The 24,495-nt window shown below is 36.5% G+C and overlaps 1 protein-coding gene, 1 long non-coding RNA gene and 2 pseudogenes across 3 annotated transcripts in view; 2 read left to right on the top strand and 2 right to left on the bottom strand.

Annotated features, from left to right (window-relative positions):
- HMGB1P44 (high mobility group box 1 pseudogene 44) lies at nucleotides 5,442-6,032 on the bottom strand (annotated as a pseudogene).
- LOC100128297 (serine and arginine rich splicing factor 10 pseudogene) lies at nucleotides 11,088-13,795 on the top strand (annotated as a pseudogene).
- MRPL1 (mitochondrial ribosomal protein L1) overlaps nucleotides 17,187-24,495 on the bottom strand; it is an 89,956-nt gene continuing 82,647 nt past the window's right edge. For both annotated transcript variants that reach the window (XM_047416089.1, NM_020236.4), the window contains exons 8-9: nucleotides 20,094-20,175; nucleotides 17,187-17,483 (exon numbers count right to left, since the gene is read on the bottom strand). In XM_047416089.1, coding sequence (XP_047272045.1) covers nucleotides 17,365-17,483; nucleotides 20,094-20,175 — 201 coding nt within the window. In that variant the 3' untranslated portion in view covers nucleotides 17,187-17,364. The remainder of the gene's footprint in view (nucleotides 17,484-20,093; nucleotides 20,176-24,495) is intronic.
- LOC102724916 (uncharacterized) overlaps nucleotides 17,462-24,495 on the top strand; it is a 34,112-nt gene continuing 27,078 nt past the window's right edge. The window contains exon 1 of the long non-coding RNA XR_001741744.2: nucleotides 17,462-17,548. This is a non-coding gene — a long non-coding RNA (uncharacterized LOC102724916). The remainder of the gene's footprint in view (nucleotides 17,549-24,495) is intronic.

The raw sequence follows: 24,495 nt of genomic DNA, 5'->3' as shown, positions 1-24,495 counted from the left end.
TTGTGTTTTCCCACATATTACCATTTCTGGCACTCTTCATTCATGTGCATAGAAATGAGTTTGTACCTGGTATCATTTTGCTTCTTCTAGAATAACTTTAACATTTCTTGTACTTCAGGTCTGCTTAAAACATATACTCCTTGTTTTTGTTTGTCCAAAAGGCTTTATTTTGCTCTCATTTTTAAAGGATACTTTCACTCAACAAAGAATCCTAAATTAACTTTTTTAAAAGCATGTTAAAGTTTTTGTCCTATTGCTTTCTTTAGGCTTAGGCTTGCATTATTTCTAACACAAAGTTCTTGCGTTGTGGCTTGCATTATTTCTAACACAAAATCAGTAGCAATTCTTATGTTGGTACCCTTGTATTTAATGTTTGTTTTCTCTGGCTGATTTTTTTTTTTTTTTTTTTTTTTAAGACGGAGTCTCGCTCTGTCACCCAGGTTGGAGTGCAGTGGTGCCATCTCGGCTCACTGCAAGCTCTCTGCCTCCCGGGTTCATGCCATTCTCCTGCCTCAGCCTCCCGAGTAGCTGGGACTACAGGCTCCAGCCACCACGCCAGCCTAATTTTTTGTATTTTTGGTAGAGACAGGATTTCACCGTGTTAGCCAGGGTGGTCTTGAACTCCTGACCTCATGATCCGCCCACCTCGGCCTCTCAAAGTGCGGGGATTACAGGTGCGAGCCCCCGCAGCCAGCCTTCTCTGGCTGCTTTTAAGAATTTCACTTTGTCACTGGTTCTCAATGATTTCAATATGATGTGCCTTAGAGTGCATTTCCTTTCAGTTATTCTGCTTGGAGTTTGTTGAGTTTCTTTGATTTAGGAATCAGTTTTCATCTTGTTTGGAAAATATAAGTAATTATTCCTTCAAATACATATTCCAGCTCCTCTCTTCTGACCTTTTCAGGAACTCCAATTACACATATGTTAGATCACTTGGAATGCTCCTCAGGTTACTGAGGATCTGTTCTTATTATTATTATTTTCTTTCTGTAACTCAGTTTGGATAGTTTCTATTACAATATCTACAAGTTCGCTGTTCTTTTCATCTGCCATACCTAATCAGTTGATAATTTTATCAGGTGAATTTTCATTCAGATATGACATCTTTCAGCTCTAGAAGTTTCCTTGTTTGTTTTTAATACCATCGATTTCTGTCCTCATTATGCTCATGTTTTCCTTTAAATATTTGGACACATTTATAATTGTTCTGATGCATCTATTTCATTCATCTCTGTAATTTGAGTCAGTTTCTGCTGACGGATTTTCTTCTTTGCATTTTCCTGCTTCTTCTCATGTCTTACTTTTATTGGATGCCATACACTATAAATACCATGTTCTTAAGATTTTTGAATTTTGTTTTCTTCACTTAGATTGGTGAATTTGGCTAGCAGGTAAGTTTTTTGCCAATCATCTTGATCCTTTTGGGGTTGTTTTTGAACTTCGTTAGTAGTAGTCTATGGTGTTTTACTCTACAGCTTGTTAAGCTTATTTTAAGGCACAACCCTGGGATACATACTGAATTCCCAGGATTTTCAGTGAGGTCCTGTCACTCTGGCGATTGAAACTCAAATGTCTCTTAGCCACATTTAAGCTGTAGGAATTGTTCAACTTATAGTCCTCTAGTACTTGCCATTTGTCTGGCCTTGTGGCATTTCACTGTATGCATGTGCACCTTAGTATACAGCAAAAGACTCGATGAAACCCCTCTGCAGATTCCTAGAGCTTCTCTGAATGGCTCCTACAACCCTGGAGCTGTGCCCTGCAAACTGAAGCTGCCACAGCTTTCCCAAAGTCTGGTCTCAGTCTCTTTCACAGAGAGACTGCCATGCTTTCCTTGGTTTCTCATTCCTGTGCTGTTCTGGAAAGTGACTCCAGGCAGAATACTAGGGATTTTGTGGAACTCACCTCATTTGTTTCCATTCATTGAGACTGCACTCCTGCACTGCATGTTTTCCAATATTAAAAAATAGTTGTTTCATATATATTGTCCAGTTTTCTAGTTGTTTACCAGTAAAGGACAAGTTTGGTATAAGTTACTCCATTACAGACAGAAGTAGAAGCCAGAATATTTTTAAAAATCGAATTTGAGCTTATTATGTGTTGAGGCTCACATAATTGCCATAGTATTTATGATACTACATTCATTTAATTAGTATAAAGCTATTTCATTTACATTACCTGATTTAGTCCTTAAAATACAGTGAGCCACAGGTGACCATTCTTATGATCATTTTATAGTAAAAAAGATTGAGGCTTACAGAGGCAAGTGAATGCCTTACACATCTTGTAAGGCTTGGAGTTAGGAGTATGACATTCAGCATAAACTACTAATGCTAAAGCTTATTTCCTGACTTCCTTTTCCTTAGATCTCTGGTTTCATCCACTACTGCCAAACTCTTATCTATCTATCCATCCTTCCTTCCTTTCTGTTTCTGCCTCATGTTTTAATTATCTTTTACCTTAGATTTTAATTATCACCTTTGTTTTCTCAGCATGGCCAAACATTTTTAAAGACATAACTCTTTCTTTAACTTTCTTCTTTGAAAACCCCTATCTTTAATTCATTGCCATATTTTTTAAATTTGAATTTCAAGCAACATGCTATTATCAATCTATATCATACCATAATCAACACATCCAACACATTCCAGAACCTTACAGACCTTTAAAGCTACATACTCTCCAGCGAGCCCCTAAATTGTCAGAATTCATGCTTTTTTTTTGAAACGGAGTCTCGCCCTGTTGCCCAGGCTGGAGCGTAATGGTGCGATCTTGGCTCACTACAACCTCCACCTTCTGTGTTCAAACGATTCTCTTGCCTCAGCCTCCAGAGTAGCTGGGATTACAGGTGTCTGCCACCAGGCCCAGCTATTTTTTGTATTTTTAGTAAAGACGGGGTTTCACCATGTTGGCCAGGCTGGTCTCGAACTCCTGACCTCAAATGATCCGCCCGCCTTGGCCTCCCAAAGTGCAGGGATTACAGGCGTGAGCCACTGCGCCTGGCCTATTCATGCTTAATCCATTTGTATCATCTTTCCTCCTCTGTCACCCACTTCCCCTAAATTACTTTGACCTATGAAGCTATAGCAATCTTCTCAGAATTTTCCCTAGTCCAAATGAAAATAAAAGATTAAAAAATTAAAATATAAAGGAAGAAGAAAATTTTAAAACTAAACAGAATTAAACTTAAACTACAAGTAAACCAGCTCCTCAGTTAGTATGACAACATAATAGATTTAAATTATAGCTTTTTTTTTTTTTCTTGAGATGGAGTTTTGCTCTTATTGTCCAGGCTGGAGTACAATGGTGAGATCTCGGCTCTGCCTCCCAGGTTCAAGCAATTCTCTTGCCTCCCAGGTTCAAGCAGTTCTCTTGCCTCTTGCCTCAGCCTCCCAAGTAGCTGGGATTACAGGCATGTGCCACCATGCCTGGCTAATTTTGTATTTTTAGTAGAGATGGGGTTTCTCCATGTTGGTCAGGCTGGTCTTAAACTTCCAACCTCAGGTGATCCACCCACCTCGGCCTCCTAAATTTCAATCAGTCTCCTACAGGGACAACCAACAATAATACTTGGGAAGATTGTAAGATTCAGCAAATTACCTTGTACCTTGAGGTACAGGAGGCAAAAGTGTTTGAATCTTCCATGACACTTCTAACCAACAGTGTGATTGTGTGGAGCAGTATAGTGAGGAAAAAAACAACCCTGAGACCTCATAGAAATCAGTGGGAAAGTCTTCTGTGATTCACATCATCTGTCATGTGCCTGATGGGGATGGGGAATGGTAAGAATCTGTGCCATAAATTTGCAGACTCTATTCTAGGTAAGAGCAGTAATATTTAAATTGCATAATGTATCAGAAATAACATCTTAAAACCTTATAGACTTGACTTTACCAAATACTGGGATTTAAATATAAAGAGGAGGTAGGGTTCAAATCAGCTGGGTATCCTAACCAACCTGACAGGATTCTTCATTACACTGCATAATACAAACAGAATTAACCCCTCTCCCAGGAAGGCAGTAACTTGTTGGGAGTCAGAAAATAACAGATTTCTTCCATCTCTAAGTCTTTTTATTTTTAAGAAGTTATTTTATGAATCCCATAAAACTCTAGATCACCATACTACAACTTTAATCAATGTAGAGTGATATTCTAACTTCTGTCTCCTCCACTCACAGGATTTTTAAATCCCTCAAAAATTACTGGACAATGTCACATTTAGCAAAATGATTAAAGTGAAAAAATAATGAACCAAGTATTGGCAAGAATATGGAGAAGTTGGAAATCTTCCACACTTTTGGGAATGTATATTGGTACAACTACTTAGGAAAAGTGTTGAGCATTGTAATGGAGCATGTTACTATCCAGCAAGTTCACGCTTAGGTATATATACAACAGGAATGTTTATGTATATATCTTGTGCACTTCTGTTGGTGAATATATATATATGTTCACCAAACTATATATATACTCATTTTCCTCATGTATATATGTTCATCTTATCTATACATATGTTCATCGCCCTCATATATATATATATATGTTCACCAAACGTGGACAAGATATAAATATGTGCGTATAAACTTGGTACAAAAGTAATTGCTGTTTTTAATGGCAAAAACAGCAATTACTTTTGTACCAACCTCATACATACATACAAATACATATATTTGTGTACACACACTAATGTGTATATATAAGCATTTCTGTTGTATATATACCTATGAATACATATATATTCTTTTCACCAGAAGTGGACAAGAATGTTAATAAGTAGCATCATTGTAATAGCCCTAAAACTTCACAAGAAGAAATATACAAAAATGTTCATATCAACGTTATTTGTAATACCCCAAACTGTAAAAATCCACATGTCCACCAACAGTAGAATGGATATTTGTGATACATTTAAGCAATGGAATATTATACAACAATGAGAACGAACAAACTACAACTACACACTGGATGAATGTCATAAATATAATGTTGAATGACTGAACCCAGACCTCCCCCAAATCACATATGATAATTATTCAATTTAAGGTAATTTTCAAAATCAGGCAAAACAAATATATAGCCTTGGAAGTGGTAATAGTGATTACCTTGAATGAGAGTGGTTTCTAAGGGGTTTCTAGGGTGCTGAAATTATCCTGTTTCTTGATCTGTGTGCTAGGTACATGTTTATTTTGGGAAAATTCATCAAGCTATACCACCATACTGTACCAAGCAAGGTTAGTGCCTACTGAAATTACCACCAGGACAGGGCTATCTAAAGACACATTTGGTAGTGTGTTAACTATATAAAAAAAGACACTGTACAGTTTAAAAACAAATCTTACACAAACTTACATTTCAATTTTTTTGTTTGAAAGGAGTGAATTGTGTACAGGGAGGTTAAATTCTTTATAGACAAGAAAAAAATGTGCTAACATTAACTTATTCATCAACATCTTCTTCATCATCTTCTTGTCCTCTTCTTTCTTCTCTTTCTTGCTTTTTTCAGCCTTGACAACTCCCTTTTTGCTGCATCTGGCTTTCCTTTAGCTCAGTATGCAGCAGTATCTTTTTCACATTTTTCCTTGAGCTTCGCAGCGTTCTTTGTATAAGGCTGCTAGTCATCTGCAGCAGTGCCATTCCACATCTCTCCCAGCATCTTTGCAACATCACCAATGTTTAGGCCAGGATGTTCTTTGATTTTTGGGTGATACTCAGAACAGAACAAGAAAAAAGGCTGAAGAAGGCCTCTTGAGTGTATTGGGATCCTTGAACTTCTTTTTTGTCTCCCCTTTAGGAGGGATATAAGTTTTCATTTCTCTTTCATAATGGGCTTTACCTACCTTTGTCATGTCTTCCAATTTTCCTTTTGCTTTAGCAGAAGTAGTCTTTCACCTCTCAGCACTTCTCAGAAAACTCTGAGGAGCTGACTGAGGCATCTGGGTGCTCCTTCTTGTGCTCCTCCTGACAAGATGGCACAAAGAACACATATGATGACATTTTGCCTCTTGGTTTCTTAGGATCTACTTTACCCATGTTTAGTTATCTTTCTTCAACAAGGCACAGAGTTGCCCAGTGCCCATCTGGCTCTCACTTGCCCCAGCACTCTCTCTATGGAGCTCAGTGTACTGCAATCAATTGAATATTTTTACCATAGAAATCTGTTCATGTGTAATTACATATGTTTGTATTTATGTTTAATAAAATGAAATTGGCATCTCTCCCCTCTAAAAAACCAATTAGTAATTTTTTTTGCATCCAAAGAATATTTGCTATGTATGTAAAAACACTTGGAGGGTGATGAAGTTAGTATTATGAATTCAATACAATGTAGTTAGTGATTTCATAGAACTGTAGGAGAAGACATTTAATAAAAATTCAAGTAATTAATGGGTCTAAGTTTTGTTGCCTCCTCCTATCACTGCTACTAATTCCTCCCAAATAGTCATCAAAGGTAGTGACCTAGTATAGTGGCATCTGTTGGTTTTGCCTGCCCAACACCCAGTAGCCCCTTTTTTTGGTAAAGTCACTTCAATATTTCTTTGGGGAATTTCTTCTACCCTACCACATGCACTTTGGTGAGATTATCAATTCTGCCTTCTTCTGACCAAGAAGTGGGCATGTAAACCAAACTAGGCCAAGCAGATTCTCTCCCCTTAGAATTTAAATCTTGAGTGACACAAGGTCAGAAAACAGAAATAATTCACCTTGACAGTAGCTCTCTGAGGAGGCTGTTCATTGGTTTCTGTGACATAGATCTCTTACGCTGCCCTGCTGCTTCCTGTCCTTTTCAAGTTACAGTTGTGTGGCTTTTCCTTTGATTCTGTGACCCACTCTATATCCTTAAAATACATGACTCTCATTAAGTCAGTCAATTTCTGTTGACTGTAGTTGACGAACACTGATACAGCTGGATATAAATACACTCAATAAAAAGGTCACTATTATGCAAGAGAGTCCATAGCATTTAAGTTTTGCCTTACTTTGTGCCAGAATTTGCTTCTTTATAAAGTCTATGTTAGTCCTGCCTAGCTCTACTTCCAGAGCTTCATAGTGTACATATATTCTATCCTTTAAATGGCACATGTTTGAAAACTACTATCATTTTTCCCCATATGCTTTCTCAGCAAAATAACTCATTTTCTCATTTAAAACATATATGACTACTACACACCCACTAAAATAGCTGAAAGAACAGACAGTTCCAAGCGTCAACAAGGATGTGGAGAATCTGGAACACTCATGCATTGCTGGAGGGAATGTAAATGGCATAGCCACTTTGGAAAATAGTTTGGCAATTTATATAATTTATAAACGTACTTAATATTTTCAATGGGTTTTAAAAATAAATGTAATTACCTATTGTAATGTCATCTTAGGAAACAATTTCATGAAATCATGGCCTTTATGTTAGTTATCTTATCCTACAATGCATTAAAGATATACTTAATTATTAATTTAAAATGTGATTTACTTATAATCTAAATTAATTCCTTGTACCACGAATGGTACAACTCCTCAGAGTTTTCTGAATACATATATTGATTGCCCTTTGGGAAACACCAGGTTTTTGTCTTTAAATTAAAATTTTGAATAAAATAATTTTCATTAAAGCAATAACCAACTTTGAAAGCAGTATTATAAAGTTTTACAAGCCAACCCATCAGAGAAATGCAAATCAAAACCACAACAAGATACCATCTCACACCAGTTAGAATGACAATCATTAAAAAGTCAGGAAACAACAGGTGCTGGAGAAAATAGGAACACTTTTACACTGTCGGTGGGACTGTAAACTACTTCAACCATTGTGGAAGACAGTGTGGCGATTCCTCAAGGATCTAGAACTAGAAATACCATTTGACCCAGCCATCCCATTACTGGGTATATACCCAAAGGATTATAAATCATGCTGCTATAAAGACACATGCACACATATATTTATTGCGGCACTATTCACAATAGCAAAGACTTGGAACCAACCCAAATGTCCATCAGTGGTAGACTGGATTAAGAAAATGTGGCACATATACACCATGGAATACTATGCAGCCATAAAAAATGATGAGTTCATGTCCTTTGTAGGGACATGTATGAAGTTGGAAACCATCATTCTCAGCAAACTATCTCAAGGACAGAAAACCAAACACCACATGTTCTCACTCATAGGTGGGAACTGAACAATGAGAACACTTGGACACAGGTTGGGGAACATCACACACTGGGGCCTGTTGTGGGGTGGGGGGAGGGGGGAGGGATAGCATTAGGAGATATACCTAATGTAAATGACGAGTTAATGGGTGCAGCACACCGACATAGCACGTGTATACATATGTAACAACCTGCACGTTGTGCACATGTACTCTAAAACTAAAAGTATAATTAAAAAAAAAAAGTTTTACAGGCCAAGTACGGTGTCTTACATCTGCAATCCCAGTACTTTGGGAGGCCGAGGCAGGAGGATTACCTGAAGCCAGGAATTTTAGACCAGCCTGGACAACATAGCGAGACCCTACCTCTACAAAAAAAATTAATTAGCCAATCATGGTGGCATGCTCCCGTAGTCCCAGCTACTCAGGAGGCTGAGGTGGAATGATTGCTAGAGCCCAGGAGTTTGAGCTGCAGTAAGCTGTGATCGTACTACCACACTCCCGCCTAGGCAACAGAGCAAGACCCTATCCCCACCCAAAAAAAAAGAAGAAAGGAAAAAATAAAGTTTTAGGTAGCATATAATGAGATATAGAAAGTGTTAGGCCTTTTATTCATTTAGCAAATACTTCGAGTTTTTTTTTTTTTTTGGTTGGCTTTTTATCAATGGGAAGTGACTGAAGAGTCAGAGATGTGGAAAACCTCCAGAACCGGGATGTCTCCCTTCTACTCTATGTCCGACATAAACATGCAATTTCAGGGAAGAGGGAGACCTCCACATAGGAAGGAGAAAAAGGAAATATAACAAAATGTTAAGTGGTTGTTTTAGGAATTCTGGGTCATTGAGTTCTTTCTTTAAATTCTTAATTATGTTGATTTCTCTACTTGCCAAAATGTAATATGCTTCCATTTGTTTTAGATAAAAACCATACAGTAAAACTTTTTGTTCTTTTGGATACCTTGGATAAAAAGATATACAAATATACCTTCCATTGTTGATAAGAATACATTTCTAATTGTATATTTTTATTCAAAAATAAAAATTCAGCCAAGCCCCGGAGCTTGTGCCTGTAATTCCAGCACTTTGGGTGGCTGATGCGGGCAGATAGCTTGAGCCTAGGAATTCGAGACCAGCCTGGGCAACATAGTGAGACCCCCATCTCTACAAAAAATAAAACAGCCAAGCATGGTGAGCACCATGGCATGTACCTGTGGTCCCAGCTACTCAGAAGGCTGAGGTGAGAGGATCACTTGAGCCCAGGAGGCCAAGGCTGCAGGGAGCGTGATCGCACCACTGCACTCCAGCTGGTGCTGGATGACACAGCAAAACCTTGTCTCAAAAAAATAGTAACATTTTTAAAGTAAAAAACAAAAATTTAATTGAAGATATCAATTTTTATTTTAAAAATATTGATATTTACATGCAACCTTTTGTGACTAATTATGCTGCTGCCTCGTTTTGAGAACTACAGTTCTCAAAGCACTAGAAAAGGTGTTTGGCTCGTTATTATGTGAAAAATATAATCCAAACAAAACAAACAAAAACTAACGGTACTCAATGGCTAGAGTAAAACACAAAAACAATGGGTTCTGAAATAATGCACCTAAAATCTTCTTGTAATTATAGCTTGACAATTTTTAAAGCTCTATAGGTTCAGTAACATGATATGTGGGATTTGCTTGTAAGTTCTGCAGAAGGGATGACGACAAGCTGGGGGCTGGGTACATGGAAGGGACAGGTAAAATGGGAATAATAGCAGAACATTGATCATTGCTGAAGCTGAATGGGTATTCATTATTGTATTTTCTTCATATTTGAAAAATTCTATACTAAAAGTTTTAAAAAGAATTTTTACAAACCTCTAAATACGCATGATCACAGAAACAGAAAGCAACCTCTGTTATATTCCCAAAATAGAATGAAATAAACAAACAAAAAATTCACTCTGAAATAAAGCTCCAGGTGGCCTATAAAGTGTTTTGTGTTTTCTATTTGTACAGGCAAGTGAGAAAACAATTATTGACCAGTAAGTACGCAACTGTTTTTAAGTTGTATGAAAGGCTGTTATCGCCACCTACTGGACTCTGTTATTGACTACTTGCTGTAAAAAATTAAGATTTTTTTAAAACCAACAATCATTATTTAACAGGTCCCCCCATCCCATCTTAAGCATCTAGTTAACAAAACAGTATAAATAAAACCATCAAATTTATGTTCTTGTTTTTATATTAGTAATGCTAATTAATGTTATGTTACATCACTTCTTAGTGTGAAATGCCCCCTGCTAAAAAGGTATATATCATAAAATTTGGGTTTGAAAGTACATTGATGATCATCCTATGATGTTCTTGTTTTACAGAAGATCACAGAACTTGAATTGTTTTCCCATAGGGTAAGAACCCAGAATTTAAATTATTTACACATAGGGATAGTCCAGAAAGTTATAAACTAGTCCTGGCTCTTAAGTTCAGTGCATTATTTTTTTTTCATTTGTCTTTTAAAATCTAGACCTATATTGCAAATTTTATATCTTTTATAACTTGGCTAATTGCACACACCAGTGATTCTCCACTCTGGTGCATCAGAATGACTTGTGAAAGTTTTAAAATAAAGCTGGCACCAAAGCCAGAGATTTTTATATCCAGCCAGGGTTAAAAGAACTATTAGTAGATACCAGTGGTTCTCAAAGTGTGGTCCCTGGACAAGCATCACCATCATCATCATCATCATCATCATCATCATCATCATCATCATCATCTCGCCATCACCTGGTTAGAAATGCAAATGTTCACAGTCCACCCCAGAGTACTGGGTGGGGGGCTGTAATTTGTGTTTTGCAAGCCTCCAAGTAATTTGGATACAAGCTAAAGTTTGAGAATCACTATTATTTACTACAAAACCGGTAAATTTCTACTCTTTTACATACAAGAATTAATTTAACTGTAGTAGAGCCCTCTGGCTGTGCGTGTCTGAGGATCAGCCTCCGGGGGCTGGACAGTTTGCTGAGCCCCTTAGTGTCCCCTGGCGCTAAGACTCACACAGCGGTCACGTCCAGCTACCTGCGTCCTCCAAGGTGCCTCTGTTCATCAGGAATGGAGCCAGTAACAGCAGGTTCAAAGATTTATGGCATGAATTTGGTCATTATGATCCTATAGTTGATGTGTATGTTCCACTTGATTTCTACACTCACTGTCCAAGAGGAGTTGCTTATGTTCAATTGGAAGATGTTCGTGATGCTGAAGATGCTTTACATAATTTGGACAGAAAGTGGATTTGTGGATGTCAAATGGAAACAGTTTGCACAGGGGGATTGGAAGACCCCAAATCAGATGAAAGCAAAGGAAGGTAGGAGTGTGTACAGTTCTTCACGCTATGATTATGACAGATATAGATGTTCTAGAAGCCAAAGTTATGAAAGAAGATCAAGAAGTCGGTCTTTTGCTTACATCTATAGAAGATCTTGTAGTCCTAGAAAGAGTGGATGGACTGGAAGACCATGGTGTAGCAGAAGCCATTCCAGCAATGATAGAGTCAAACACTGAAATCAGTCTTTTTCAAGATCTAAATCCAATTCAAGATCAAGGTCCAAGTCCCAGCCCAAGAAAGAAATGAAGGCTAAATCGTGTTCTAGGTCTGCATCGCATGCCAAAACTAGAGGCACCTCTAAAACAGATTCCAAAACATATTACAAGTCTTGCTCAAGACATAAAAAGGAATCAAGGAAAAAAGAACCGCCTTGTTCCAAATCCCAGTCAAGGTCACAGTCTAGGCCTAGGTCAAAATCTAGATCAAGATCTTGGACTAGTCCTAAATCCAGTGGCTACTGATAGTATAAACCATGATCATTTTTAGGCACGTATCGTTCATTCGCTCATAGATTGGCTTAAATTATCAGGAATACAATGTTTAACAAACACTTGTTAGTTTTCCCTGTACCAGGCAATGGTTATATTAAAATGACATGCTGTTGAGAAGCCACTCTTGAGTCCAGTTTGTTTAGTGCTATGGGCAGCTACCAATTTGTTGTGTCTGTGTATATTTTTGTAAAGATTCTCGTTTTTATGCTTGAAGTATTTGGTGAAAAGATGTTGGTTAACCATAATTTGCAACATTGTCTTACTAAACTTTCATATTAATATTTGGTAGAACTGTTAACCTAGGAAGGAGTAAGATAGAGTGTTACAAAAGTGAAGTTGTGGCCACAGTACAACACTGACTGCTCAGACACATTTAGGTTCAGTGTGGACCTTTATGTCTTATCAAGATGTCTAGGCCCTTGATAATAGTTTATGATGCAATGTGGATTAGTTCTTTTGTTAACTCCACCGTCTTGGGGAATAATGCCAACTGAGTTATGTAGTATTTTCAAGGAGATTAAGTTTTTGACTGAAACATGGAGCCTTTGCTTTTTTTCTGATTTCTATAGACTTGGAACAAAAAAACATCAGAAAGACTCACCTTAAAATTTGAGGGGGTCAATGATGGCAGAAACAATTTTAAGGGGAAAAGAATGTTCTTATGTGGTTATTCTAAAATTTAAGAAGTACTGTTGACCATAACATTGCTTAGTTTTCTTACTGCCCTTAGAAACGAGTGAATTGTTTCAAAGTAGGCTATGTGTCGGGGGCGGGTGTATAGTGTAAAATAACTGAAATGTTGATGCTTACAGCACTTGGTCTATACATTCGTATCAAAATTTGCCTGCTTCTTTATGTGGGAGGCTTGCTTTTCGCACCTCAGTTTATTTAATGTGAGGCAAGTTCAAAAACAACACATTCATTCTAGGTGATTCTGTGGTGCCATGAAATTTAAAATGATTTTGGAAAAAAAGATTAGTCAGTTTTAAGCATGAGTCACATCTTTTGAATTTTTGACTACCAGTGTAGTACCTGACTAAAAATAAAGAAATAATACCCTTTACCATTTATAATTTCTAGTACTCCTCTGAAAGATTGTTTTGGGGACAAAAGTGACTTGACATGTCTAATCTCATATTGCATAAAAAGCTAGCACCTTTTAAAATCTCAGATTGCTTGCTTAAAGATATAAGTAAGAATTATGGAGAAGCAATTCCTTTAAGAGGATTACTTATTTCAGTTGTTTTTAGTAATCTAGGCTTTGTCTGTAGAGAACAAAACGATGGCAGTAAGCTGAGATAGCTCAATTGGGAGAGTATTAGACTGAGAACAAAACGATGATTTTTAAATACTACATGCTAAGTGCTTAAGGGGTTGATTGTAGGACCTTTGTATATTTGATAGTATTTCTTCCATTTCTTTAGTGTTTGCAGTTAATGTTCTGTTCTGCTACGCAATCATTTATATGCATGTTTTTTTATTTTTTAAAGATTTTCCTGGATGTATAAACAACAAAAAGTGTATTTAAAACTGTAGCAGTAGTTTGCAGTTCTAGCGGAGAGGAAAGTTGTAGGGCTAAACTTTCTACTTTTTTTCTTGTAGAAGCTTCTAAAAAGGCATTTTATAGTTCTCTTTAACAAATATTGTGTACAGCTTTTAAAACATCAATATTTGGATCAAAGCAAGACCCAGCTTATTTTCTGCTTGTTGTAAATTAAGCAAACAGAAATAAAAAACTTTATTTTATGAAGGAAAATTTTTCTTCATTTTGCTATAATAAAAACAAAATGAAGAAAAAAGATTTGATTTACTGTTCTCTAAGAAAAAAAGAGATTTAAATTTAGTAATATAGTGTGATTTTACTCTTTTTCCAGAAGCATACACTGAACAAAGCTCTAGTTAGCCAATAGGAAAAATGCTCTAATGGAAGAGTGGAGAGTAATTTATTCATAGGCCAGTTAATAAGACCCTGGAATGTTCCTGCCTAGAGCAAATTTTCCAACCATATTTCCTTATTCTGGCTTGTTCTGCTCAGTAAGTTACCTTTCTAAGACATAATAAGGTCTTTTAGTCACATCAGACCTTTTGACCCAGGAATGCCACTTCTAAAAATTAGAAAATAAATTACGCTCCAAGGATTTCTCCAAAGCACTGTAAATAATGGGGGGAAGGGGATCCTGGAGTTAGTTAAATGTACAACAATTGAGGAATGAGTCCATAAAATAGAACATCAACAGGATGGAATATTGTTCAACCATTAAAATGATGCTTTTCATATGGCATTTTAAATATAGGAAATGCTTACTTTATAACATGTACACACACAGATACATACACACTCACAACTGAAGACAACAAAGTACTAAAATATTAATGCTGGTTATCCTTGAGTAATAGATTATGAGTGATTTTAAAAATATTTAATCAGTATTTTTCAATAAATTTTTCAATAATGACTTATCCATTAATTAAAATAAAATCTACAAATAGCAGAGCTTCTACTTTGTGAACTGAGATCTTCAAATAATGATTAATCTGTAAGCTTTCAAAAAACAACTGTGGGAAATGGGTAGGTATCTTTTCCTCTCCATCCTACATTACTCTTTCCTCATCCCACTCTAACTCTTCTACTTCTACTTCCTTCACATCAGCCCTGCCGTAATTCATTAACTAGAAATACCAAGAAACTGAAGGTGATTATTCAATATTTTAAAATTTTAAAACTGTTCAATTAAATGGTTGATCTTAGAATATATATTTTAAAAAAGAGGTAAAATAGCCCAATGGTTAAAAGAGCCTAAGGGCTTTAAAATTAGATAGACCTGGGTTTAAATCTTTGCCACTTAGGAGACCTCCTGCAAGTTTCACTTTCCTTATCTGTGAAATGGGAGTACCACTCTGCTCAGTGAATTGCTGTGAGGATGAAATGAGAGGATGCATCTAAAGTATAAGATGGTAGTATGCATTTGTTAGTCTGTTTTGTGTTGTTATAGCAGAATACCTGAGAAGGTAATTTATGAAGCACAGAGATTAATTCCTTGCAGTCTGTAGGCTGGAAGACCATGGTGAGCAGCTGGCTTCTAGTGATAACCTTCTTGCTGTGGTCATCCCATTGCAGAAGGCAGAAGGGCAAGAGAGGGCAAGAGGAGGTAAGTCGGGGAGGAAGAGAGAGCAAGCAAGCATGCAAGGTGTGCCCAAGAGTTCCTTGCAGTCTTAAGCCCTTTTATTTTTTTACGATTTGTATAAATTTAAGAGGTACAAGTATAGTTGTGTTACACGGATACATCGCTTAGTGGTGGCCTGGGCCTTTTAATGTAACCATTACCCAAATAGTGTATACTGTACTTGTTAATTTCTCAACCCTCACCATCCTCCTCCCACCCTCCCTCTCTTCTGAGTCTCCGATGACTATACTAAGCATTAATCCATTCATGAGGGCAGAGCCCTCATGACTTGTACCTCCCATGAGGCCTCATCTCCCAACACTGTTGCATTGAGGATTAAGTTTCCAACACATACTTTTTGAGGGGCACATTCAAACCATAGCAGCACTCAGTAAAAGGTAACTGCTGTTATTGTTTTCTAGTAATGTTATTGCTGTTTTGGGTAAGCAACCCCTAAGTTTTAATTTTTCTGTGGGGGGATAAAAAAGCTTAGTGGGGTACTGTGGCTATTCAGTCATTTGGACTTCTCAGATCACTAACATTTCAAAAAGAATTTGGGAGACCTATATGGAGCTGTCAAAATTTCCTTTACAAAGTAGGTATTAATCAATTTTCCCTCAAATGTCTTGTACAGCTGATGTTTTCAAACTATGCATTTATCACTAACCCACACTAGAGTTAATTGTTATGTCTGAATTCTCTTTAATGGTTTCTCCTTCTGCTTGTTTCTATGAGGCTGGGAGGGTTGAACTGTATAACATCCCACATTCTGAACTGGCCTAATTATTCCCACTTGAGGTCAGTTGATTTGTCCCGCCATCTCCTATATCTTCTGTAAACTGAGATGTAGGTCTATAAGCTTGATTAGATTTAAGCAGAACAGCCTTGGGAAGAATAAATACTTCATTGGTAGTGATGAACTTCATCTTGAAACATGTCTATTCCTTGGCCAAGTTGAGTGTGCAGATTCTGTGTGCTCTAGGCAGATTTATGGTTCCCAAATAGATCAATGCAAAATGAATCAAAATAATTCGTGTTATTAGAAATCCAATTGTTTTAAAATCATACATTTTGGATTGTGAGAATTGTGTTACCCAGCTCTTCTTCAAAAAAGATTTTACCTTGAAAAGCTAGAGCTGGCAAGTCAACACCAAAACTAAAATAAAATGAGGTGCATTAATGAAACAAAACAAAAAACAAAGTAGGTATTTAAACCCCACCAACAAAGTCACCATCACTATTATTTCATAAAAGAAAACTCATTCGAATAATCCCTAAAAAAGTGGAAGATACTTCAAGTAATCATTCCCAAGAAAGGACAGCTGGCAACTGCATGCCAAAAATTATCCTTATTTTTTTCACTTTGTCATATATCAGTAAGCACTTAAGGATTAACATCGGTCTGCAAACTGGTACTTGATGCAAGGTGCTTTACTTCTTGGCCTGATTTTTAATCCATGAATGAAGTTGTTCTAGCTACTTCATGGGAATGTTCATTCGATAAACACTAACCAAACACTTGTTATACTATTAAGCAGAGAAATTCAGGAGCAAATGAGGTCACGTATATGAAAACACTGCATACAGTGCCTTGTAGACTACAAAGCATCATAAAAATATGTGGTATTATTACAAATGTATATATTACATATATAATTATATAATAATATATATTACATATACATATTATATATATAATTACAAACTGATTCCTAAAAAGAGATTACCCAACATACGGTTTAGTGACTTAGTAATTTTCTATATTCATGCTATCACAAATAGTATTCAGAATACTTTAGAATGCTTATTTTCTTTTTTTTTTTAAAAGAAAATAGCTATATTTGTGATGTAGCTCATGATTCTGCCATTTTCTGCTTTATGGGAACTGAGGATGTTACTATTCCCTCAGATGGTTATGACTCCCAAGGGAAAGTTATTAAGCCAGAAACTGCTGCTATAATTACCAGTACGTAGACTCTGGATTCTAAAAAAGAAAATGTCACAGGGTCTAAAAGGCAGGTTCAGACAAAGAGAAAATTTTATTTTCTTATTCTTGAAATGACTGTACGATTTTTCAATGTTAAAGTTCACTTTCAAGTATGATCAATAACAAGACATCAAATGTAAAAATTATGCTGTATTATCATTTTCTCCATTGCTTCTTAAACCACTGAAAGTAATTTCACAATTCACCACATTTAGGCATCTTCTTTTTCACTTTCTTCATTTTTTACTTCTTTAGGCAACAATGGATCAATCTTCAGTAATAAACCTTCACTTGTTGAACTACGAAGGAAAGCACGTACCACAAAGGGACCTGGAAACAAAAACGAGAATCAACTTTGATTTTTATATCGCAATACCACCTCATGAGCAAATAAAGTAGGTCCTCACTTAATATTGTCACTAGGTTCTTGGAAACTGCAACTTTAAGCAAAACAACTTATAAAGAAACCAATTGTACCGTAGGCTAATTAATAAGAGTTAAGTTTCTCAGGCATATTTCTAGTCACAAAAATATCACCAAGCTTCTAAATAAAGAGCTCAAACACTTCTAATATTAACCATTGAAATAAATTTGAACTATAAATACATTTAAGATTAATAAAAGCAATAATTATTTACCCAACTGTGGGTGAATCAGAGTGACAGGAGTCATAGTGGTGGTGACTTAAATCAAAGACTAAGTGTTTGCAAAGTGAAAACTGTAAGAAGCGCCTTCTGCCACCGTGCAGTTCAAAAACAAACTAACAAATATGGTTGCCTCACTGAGTGCTTTCATACCACATCATTTATTGTCCTGCATTTGTATGATTATCATATACTTTGCCCATTTTTATTTTACAATAGTTTGTATTCATTAATTCATCTTCCAACTCCCTTATTCCAGTCCAGGGTTGTGGGAGGCCAAAGCCTATCCTGGCAGGTCAGAGCATAGGTGGGAATGATCTCCGGATAAGCAGCATCTCATTGCAGGGCACACGTACACAACCCACACACTAACTCACACCGGGATCATGCAGACATACCAATTAACCTAACATGCCACCTTTGGGATGCGGGAGGAAACCGAAGTACCCAGAGAATCCATGCAGACATGAGGAGAACATGCAAATTCCACACAGACAGTGGCTCTGGCCAGGAATCTATTTTTTTCTTATCAATGTTATAATAAAATAACATTGAACAAAAGGATGTTATTCAAGGACCTGCTGTACAAATATACAACAGGAAAACTTATAGAACTCATGTCATATTTTCAGTGAAAAGTACTGTATTACTGAACTAATATTTTGAATTATAAGAAGGGGAAGATAGTTTCATTTCTAGAATAGAAGACAAACTAGTTGTACTCTAGAATATTAGAGATTTATCCTTCAAACTACACACACTCACTAATAATTCATTTCTCTCTTCCAGAAGATGATCACCTAGAATTTATTTTATTGCAAAGGCAACAGTGAAGGGAGCAGGTGGTGATATTTACATTTGATGGAAATGTTATAAATATTTATTTAAAACAGTCAGCACAGATGCTACCTTTGTGTTACCACACAGTTGGTAAAATTCCCTAAAAACTAAAATGCTTTTCATAAGAACAACGTTAAGTGGCTTCATTTAAAATAGCAAAAAGACAGCCGGACACCGTGGCTCACACCTGTAATCCCAGTACTTTGGGAGGCCAAGGTAGGTGGATCACCTGAGGTCAGGAGTTCGAGACCAGCCTGGCCAACATGGTGAAACCCCACCGCTACTAAAAATACAAAAATTAGCTGGCATGGTGGCAGGTGCCTGTAATCCCAGCTACTTGGGAGGCTGAGGCAGAAGAATTGCTTGAACCCGGGAGGCGGAGGTTGCAGTGAGCTGACATCAAACCACTGCACTCCAGCCTGGGTGACAGAGTGAGACTCCGTCTCAAAAACTAAAATAAAATGGCAAAAAGAGAATCACAACATTTAAACATGCTAAGGGGCTTCATATGAAATAGCAAAAAGAGAATAACAACATTTTGAGGATTTACTGTCCATCATCTACTCCTACTATTGTCTCAAGAGGATCCTGTACTGAAATCAAAGTTATCTGTGGACTCTAAGAATCCATACACATCCAATTACTTAGTAGTATGGCCATATTTAGGGCAAGAAAATTAACAAGGGTGGTATTTATTCACCAGTATGGTTAACTCCCAAAGAAGGTAAAAAATAGCTTAAGATTGTGTTTTAATTATAAACTTGGTTATAAAACTAAACCTGACAAATTCTTATCATGGTAAGCCTACAAATGAGTAGTCAATTGAGTATAATGGACCCTTGCTTGGCTTCAAGCAGCCACAAGTGAAATTTGTCTGAGGAAGGAATTTGAACAGCACACAACGCAATGATAAAGAAACTGGATGCCTGTGTTCTAGCCTACTACACAGCTTCCACATCTCAATTGAGTTGAGTGATTCTCTATGAGTCACCTCATTTATAAATGACTCTCATGACATAATAAAATGATCTTCTTTCTGTCCTGTAATAAATAAATAAGATTAAGAAAACTAATTGCTAGTGCCAATGACAAAGTGAATGATCTGGTTTCAAAATATCATTTTAGAAATAATTTTAGTCCCTAACATCATTGTAAGTTTAAAGCAATCAGTTACAGTTTTCTTTCAAACTTTGCTACATCTATTATTAGTAATAATGTGGGAATCTACAAAGGTTTCAGGATGCATTCCTTATTAATGCTAGAGAAATCCTTTGGAGAATTAAATTTTATTTATTTAATCCCTGGAAATATAAAACTTGCATGTTAACTTGATTTTTTATTTAATATTTTACATTTTGCTATTATACTTGCATGTTAATTTGACTTTTTTCTTCATATTTTACATTTTAAAGTTTCACAGGGTCATAGGGAAGTCTACCCTCAGCAAACCACTTACCCAAATTCAGCGGTCTGTGCCTACAAACTTCATTAATAACTGCTTGCAGATTGGCAGCTATCTGGTCACTTGACATATCCAACTGAAAGAAAATAATATACATAACATTAATGATGAGAAAGCAAGAAGATAATAAATTATTCTAGACTATTTTTCAAATAGTCAACCAATGCAAATTATCTAGTAAATGACCCTACTGTGAAAGGGGAAAACCTCTATAGCTCTTTGTTTCGAATGCCACATTTACATGTCTTCACATGTCAAGATTTAATAGATTTATAGAACATATTATAGCAAACTGAAGTTGAAGTTTTTCCACTTGAGAATCCTTGACTTCCAAGTAATTTCCCTAAAGCATATCTTGGAGCAGAATACATCATTCCCTACACGCACCCCCCAAGAAAACAGTGACATTTTCTCATGAAGTTTGTTGATTTAAAGGAAACTAAGAAAATGTCTAGAAATTAATGTTTTCTTGAGTCCAAAATAAAACTGCTTGCTACATGCATTCAGATAATACATATCTCACACAGAGACAATTTCAGGATGTTGTGCTAACATTCTAATTTTTCAAACACTATGCAATAACAATTATCTTGTCATTTAGCAGTAAGTAAATATACAGTGAATGAGTTCTATTCATAAAACTCCTAAACCCAAATTACACCCTTGAAAAGTCTTTCTGTTTATTATTCAAATTCAATTACTCTTATTCTTCCTAAATATTCCAGTTAAAATCCGTTATATTACATTCAAATGTTTACAGGATTTTGCACTGTGCCAAATAAATCAATTTTTAAAAGTTCACGGCTGGGCACGGTGGCTCACGCCTGTAATCCCAGCACTTTGGGAGGCCAAGGCAGGCGAATCACCTGAGGTCAGGAGTTTGAGACCTGCCTGGCCAACACGGTGAAACCCTGTCTCTACTAAAAATACAAAAATTAGCCAAGTGTGGTGGCAGATGCCGGTAATCCCAGCTACTCGGGAGGCTGAGGCAGGAGAATCGCTTGGTCCCAGGAGGCGGAGGTTGCAGTGAGCTGAGATTGTGCCACTGCACTCCAGCCTGGGCGACAAGAGCAAAACTCTGTCTCAAAAAAAAAAAAAAAAGAAGAAGAAGAAGATTCATATAAAATTATAGTAGCTTAACAGGCAAAATTTATACAGTACAACAGTTGAAGTTCAAACAAGATTTCTGTTTTCCAAAGACTCTGAGAGCACTGTGAGAAATGTGCCCCGCATAAGCATAAAGAGAATTCCTCCTTAAAAAATCCTTTTATCATCATCCAACAGCATTTATTCAACACCCACTTGGGCATGATGCAGTACCAAATCCTAAATGAGAAAGGTTGGACATTACTGCAGGAATTCTCACTTTATGCCAATCCTTAACTAGAAGTTCTGAGAGGAAAAAAAATAAAAGCAATGCTTAGTTCACCTTATTAAGTCCATACACCGTACAGACTTTAATTTACATTGAAGCAAGTAGTTCACTGGCAGGGAAGGCACCTTACATATTTTATGTTGAAAAATAAAAAAGAAAAGGCTAAAGGCATCAGCATGTGTCCCTGCCTTCAATTCCCCTCTTAATTCTCTACTTTACCTCAAATTGTCCTTCTTTCTATCATCAACTGAAGTAACCATCACAGCTCTAATCAATTCTACACCCCCCGCTAAAGACCTATACCTACTTAAAATTTGGAAAAGAGATAAAGAAAAAGCAAGGTTTCCAACCTATCTTTTTAAACAGTTATAATCTATATTGGTATATTATATACATTAAACTTCTCAGATTTTTGTAACTATACTTTCTGCAGCTTTATATTGCCATTCCTCTAGCAAGCTAAAATGACAATAAATGTTTCAGAAATATAAAACAATTATGTTCCCTGCAACTTTCATGATTAGGATGGTTTCAATGATTTTATCAATTTAAGTTTAAAAAAACCACAAAAATGTTTTAAAACACAGTTTATACTTTTATTCAAATTTTAGCAACTTTAATATATAGTACTGTGCCCTCTACTGAATTTTAAAATATATGTACAGCTATAATACTTTTTATTTTAGATATTGTGCAAAATTATGGAAATGTTACATATCTCATAGGCATTACTGTGATTATTTAATTGGCTAATGACAAGATAGCTGTGTAGGCAAACAAAATGTATATGTGCATGAGTTTTATCAAAACTTGCAAACGAAATTCATTTGGGATGACAATGTTCTAGAGAGAACTCAGGAAAGCAAACTTGCAAGGTTTTCTGCCTACTTCTCAGTTAGTCTGCACTTCCAATAGTGCTTTCCCATGTAATAACATTTTGTGGTCTTACGGAGGCAGGATGACTACTTTGAGGAGATAATATTATCCATTATATTACCAATAGCACATTATATGATTTGGTACAGCAAGGGAAAAACAAACAGGGACAGGGTTGATCTTGAAGGGGATATAGGACTATGTTAAGCACCATATTTGTGCCTGTGCATATGTGTGTATTTGAATATTTAACAGTCACAAAACTATATATGTTTAACTAAAGTGATTATCCACTGCAAGACAAAACAGTTATTCCTTATTCTGAAGCATACATGTTTTCAAACAAAAAGACCACTTTACTGAATCTTACTGTCTGCTTAGCAACCCTTACTATGTCGGAAACCATTCCCTAAGCAGACTAGATGGGAAGACTTCTACAAAAGATGTCAGGGTAGTGGCTCAGTGGACACAGGTGAACTTTATGTCTCTATCTCTGTTTTAACACTCAGATTTTCCTTTTTTGTGTAATTCCTAACCTTTTTATTCAATAACTTTCTTATCATTATGAGAAAACTAAAAATCAGTGGTTCTTAACTTTTTTTTTTTTTTTGTCCCATTGAGATGCACATGTCATAATTCATCTCAGGGCAAAATATAATCACAAGCATGTCCAAACCAGTGATTCTTAAACATTTTTAGGTCACTGAGTCTTGCTACAGAAAAATGCACACAAAGAACTTAGTCTACAATACCAGGGTCTTCATAGATTCTCTGATTTAAAAGAAAGGGGATAAAAGAAGAAAGACTCCTGGGGAAAGTGTCTGAGTTAAAAAGGATCCCTGGACCACACTCTGAGAACCACTACTACAGAGGTTAGTCTGTCCAAATATTTTGGAGGACTAAGGATTGTTGTGGGAAGTCAGGGACCCTGAATGGAGGGGAGGGACTGGCTGGAGCCATGGCAGAGGAACATAAATTGTGAATATTTCATTTTAATATGGACATATATCAGTTCCCAAAATTAATAGTTTTATAATTTCTTATACCTGTCTTTACTGCAATCTCTGAACATAAATTGTGAAGATTTCATGGACATTTATCAGTTCCCAAATAATACTCTTATAATTTCTTACGCCTGTCTTACTTTAATCTCTTAATCCTGTTATCTTCATAAGCTGAGGATGTACGTCAGTCACCTCAGGACCACTGTGATGACTGCATTAACTGTACAAATTGATTGTAAAACGTGTGCTTAAACAATATGACATCAGTGCACTTTCAAAAAGAACAGAATAACAGCGATTTTAGGGAACAAGGGAAGAGAGCCATGAGGTCTGACTGCCTGTGGGGTCAGGCAGAATAGAGCCATATTTTTCTTCTTGCAGAGAGCCTATAAATGGACGTGCAAGTAGGAACAATATCGCTCAATTCTTTTAAATATTAAGACCCTAGGAAAAGAATTGCATTCCTGGGGGGAGGTCTATAAACGGCCGCTCTGGGAGTGTCTGTCTTACGCGGTTGAGATAAGGACTGAAATACGCCCTGGTCTCCTGCAGCACCCTCAGTCTTATTAGGGTGGGGGAAAAAACCCCACCCTGGTGAATTTGAGGTCAGACTAGTTCTCTGCTCTCGAAACCTGTTTTATGTTGTTTAAGATGTTTATCAAGACAATACGTGCACAGCTGAACATGGACCCTTATCAGGAGTTTTTGATTTTCCCCTTTGCCTTGTGATCTTTGCTTTGCCCTTTGCCTTGTGATCTTTATTGGCCTCAGAAGCATGTGATCTTTGTTCTCCTTTTTGCCCTTTGAAGCATGTGATCTTTGTGACCTACTCCCTGTTCGTACACCCCCTCCCCTTTTGAAGTCCTCAATAAAAACCTGCTGGTTTTGTGGCTCAGGTGGGCATCACGGTCCTAGCGATATGTGATATCACCCCCAGAGACCCAGCTGTAAAATTCCTCTCTTTATACTCTTTATTTCTCAGCCGGCCGACACTTATGGAAAATAGAAAGAACTTACGATGAAATATTGGGGGCAGGTTCCCCCGATAAAGGATTACAATGTGAATAAAGGATTTTTACAATCTTACAGAAGACAGAACTTAAAAAAAAAAAGCAAAGTACACATACATGATTTTTAAACA

The sequence above is a fragment of the Homo sapiens genome, chromosome 4 (genome assembly GCF_000001405.40).
Source record: "Homo sapiens chromosome 4, GRCh38.p14 Primary Assembly".
NCBI classification, from domain to species: domain Eukaryota; kingdom Metazoa; phylum Chordata; class Mammalia; order Primates; family Hominidae; genus Homo; species Homo sapiens.
Note: the sequence above shows the minus strand (reverse complement) of the source record. Positions and strands in the feature narration are given on the sequence as shown.